Genomic DNA, 3,498 nt, shown 5'->3' with positions numbered 1-3,498 from the left:
TAAATCCATTTACAGACAACCATGACTCAGAGGTGTTAGGTAACTTGCCCAAGTTCCTACAGGGAAGAAATAGAGTAGAAGAGATGGGTTCAAGCCTAGGTCTATCTGAGGCGAGTGCCTACCCTCTTTCCCCTATACCAGAATAGCCAGGAGCTTTAAATATCTGAGCTAATTACACCCAGAGGTAAAATGTACACAATTATGTGCATATTATGTAGTTGCAATTTACTCTTATCAGATGGATAAAAATGAAAAATTGGTATTTTTACACAAATAGGACAAATATCCTTGTGGGCACCTAACCACTAAGTAAGTAGCAAGGAGAAAAATAACTAAAGGTCCAATCTGGTTTAAACCTTTGTCTAATGTTACCATTTAGGATCCCTTTGTTTAATGCTCCATTTCTCTAGATAAAAGTGTTTGGTGATTTATTGGTCTTCTACCGGCTCCTCTCTAAGATGGCATTAGACTACATGAATGCATGTAGAATTGGGTTGTTTGTCCAGAAACTTTGCAATTTCATGATGGATGGGGTCAGAGACCTCAAGCATGATGTCCTCTAGCCCCCTGATCTGCACGTTCTTGTCATTTGTCCACCCGGGTACTGCTGCCCTGCTAAGGTCTGCTGCTTCTGTTGTTTGTGCCTTGTCCTCTGATTTCTTTAGACTTGGCCAGAGCTGGGTGGTGCCTCCCGGCTACTTAGCAGCCTCACTTCCCTCTTGTTCAGGTTCTTGCTGGAGTCTCTGAGGAGGTCTTCCTACAAATCTCATTTGGGCTGCAGACCAGCACTGCCATCAGCTAAAGTACGATTTTTCTTCTTTGCTCATCCTGCCTCCCCTAGACACATACACTGACACCACAGACACACATGGGCACAGATCTCAGTTAGCCCTCGGGCAAGCTTTCCCATCAACACCCTCAGCATGGTCAGTGTTCCTCCTGGATACCTTCAGGGCATCGTGGAAGCTGGGCAAGACCCCTGGAGGCCCGAACTCTGCCTACCATGTTGTGCCACTCCTTCTCCAACATTAGCATAGAGTATCAATCAATTTTTTGGTCTTATGCACCCACTTTTAGGTTTAGTCAGCAACACAACTATGCCTAGAAAATGTGGGCCTCAATATTTTTACACAAGACAAAAATGAACATCAAGAAAAACCTTAGAAGGTAATTTGGGGAGTGAGAGTGAGAACAGCCTCAAATGTGCAATCTGTGGACTGAAAGATTACTGGAAGGGGAGAGAGACGGGCCTGCTGATCTCACCTTGACCATGGGGAGATTCGCAAAAGCGGCTGGAGGCAGGGCACGGACGTGCATTATTTCTACTTACGCATTAGAGCTGCTTTTCCTTCCTAATTAGGTTTTTGTCTTTTTTTTTTTTTTTTTTTTTTTTTGAGCCGGAATCTCGCTCTGTCGCCCAGGCTGGAGTGCAGTGGCGGGATCTCGGCTCACTGCAAGCTCCGCCTCCCGGGTTCACGCCATTCTCCTGCCTCAGCCTCCCGAGTAGCTGGGACTACAGGCGCCTGCCACTACGCCCGGCTAATTTTTTGTATTTTTAGTAGAGACGGGGTTTCACCGTTTTAGCCGGGATGGTCTCGATCTCCTGACCTCGTGATCCGCCCGCCTCGGCCTCCCAAAGTGCTGGGATTACAGGCGTGAGCCACCGCGCCCGGCCAGGTTTTTGTCTTTTACTTAGTGCCAGCTAACATAGCCACTTCCTTCTATGAGTCCTGCTATAGTCTGGTCACTGCAGGCCAACTGGGCCAACCTAGAAATGAGCCTTATTCCAGGGATGACCTGATCCTCCCACCAGTCTCCTCTACCTTCCTCACCAGCATCTCCTCACCTGCTCCATCCGCTCTCAGAGCCCCCAAAGAAGTCGCCAATGTACAGGGCAAGCACCCACACTTGCTACTCCCACCCTCACTCTCAAAGCTTCAACACTGGAGTTTGTATTTTCTGTTGGGCAGATCTGGAATAGAGTATTGATTGTCTCTGCCCTGTTTAAGCTGGCTACGAGGGTTGCCAGATGTCTAATTTCAAACATTTAAACCTTTTTCTGAGAAAGAAAAAAACACCAGATGTATAAATGTCCAGAATTAGAAAATATGTCTTTTCTCAAAATGTAACTTTAAATTTCTTTTTTTTTTTGAGACGGAGTCTCGCTCTGTCGCCCAGGCTGGAGTGCGGTGGCACGATCTCGGCTCACTGCAATCTCCGCTTCCCGGGTTCAAGAGATTCTCCTGCCTCAACCTCCTGAGTAGCTGGGATTACAGGCATGTGCCACCACACCCAGCTAATTTTTGTATTTTTAGTAGAAGCAGGGTTTCTCCATGTTGCGCAGGCTGGTCTTGAACTCCTGACCTTGTGATCCGCCTGCCTTGGCCTCCCAAAGTGCTGGGATTGCAGACGTGAGCCACCATGCCCAGCCACTTTAAATTCTTTTAAAGTAACCAAATATTCCCAAGTATTTCCAATCTTCTATGACTGCCCTTGTTTTAATACTCAAATAAAATGGCTGGGCCCAGTGGCTCATGCCTATAATCCCAGCACTTTGGGAGGCCAAGATGGGTGGATCACCTGAGGTCAGGAGTTCGAGACCAGCCTGGCCAACATGATGAAACCCTGTCTCTACTAAAAATACAAGAATTAGCTAGGTGTGGTATCACATGCCTGTAGTCCCAGCTACTCAGGAGGCTGAGGCTGAGGCAGGAGGTGGAGGTTGCAGTGAGTGGAGATCACGCCACTACACTCCAGCCTGGGCAAACTCTTGTCTCAGGAAAAAAAAAAAAAAAAAACTCAAATAAAATGACTCAGGCTATGGAAGAAAGGTCCAAAAATTTCCCTGAGGCTTCCCAGAGGCTCAACTTCCATACCCTCACTCAAACTGTCCATTTCCACTAAACTCTTGGTATCATTAGCTTACCATCTCTTTGCTTGAAGTGAGTACATCGCCCCTGCACTCAGCTTTGCTTCATTCACCCAAAGCACTACTCACCCAAGGTTTTACTAATTTGGGGCATTCATTCAGTCATTGAACAAATATTTATTGAGCAGCTAGTATAGACTAGGCCCTGTTTAGGCCTTCGGGATTCAGCAGCAAACAAAAGAGACAAAACTCTCTGCCTTCATTGAGCTTACATTCCAGGGGAAACTCTCGGCCAATAAATACAACAAATGACATGCTATATACTGTGTCTGGTAGTAATATGTACATAGAGAAAAACAAAGTAGACGGGATGCAGAGTGCTGGGAGGAGAGTGTGATTATTTTCGTTTTTTTTTCTTTTTTCTTTTGGGTTTTACTATCTACATAGGAGTTTAATTGTTTAAACAGAGGAGTCAAAAAGGCTTCACTGAGGAGACTTAACATTAGATAAAGTAGGCTGGGCACAGTGGCTCACGCCTGTAATCCCAGCACTTTGGGAGGCCGAGGCGGGCGGATCACGAGGTCAGGAGAGCAAGACCATCCTGGCCAACACGGTGAAACCCCGTCTCT

The 3,498-nt window shown here is 46.5% G+C and overlaps 1 annotated feature.

Annotated features, from left to right (window-relative positions):
* Positions 1,300 to 1,532: a silencer, noted in NCBI's record as "fragment chr15:35345268-35345500 (GRCh37/hg19 assembly coordinates)". NCBI's record gives its function as "represses an EF-1alpha promoter that drives an FKBP-Casp9 reporter gene in an ReSE screen in K562 erythroleukemia cells {active_cell/tissue: K562}" and the evidence as "EXISTENCE:reporter gene assay evidence [ECO:0000049][PMID:32094911]".

This window comes from Homo sapiens, chromosome 15 (assembly GCF_000001405.40).
Source record: "Homo sapiens chromosome 15, GRCh38.p14 Primary Assembly".
NCBI classification, from domain to species: Eukaryota; Metazoa; Chordata; class Mammalia; order Primates; family Hominidae; genus Homo; species Homo sapiens.
The sequence above is the reverse complement of the archived record's forward strand: the minus strand, read 5'-3'. Positions and strand labels throughout refer to the sequence as shown.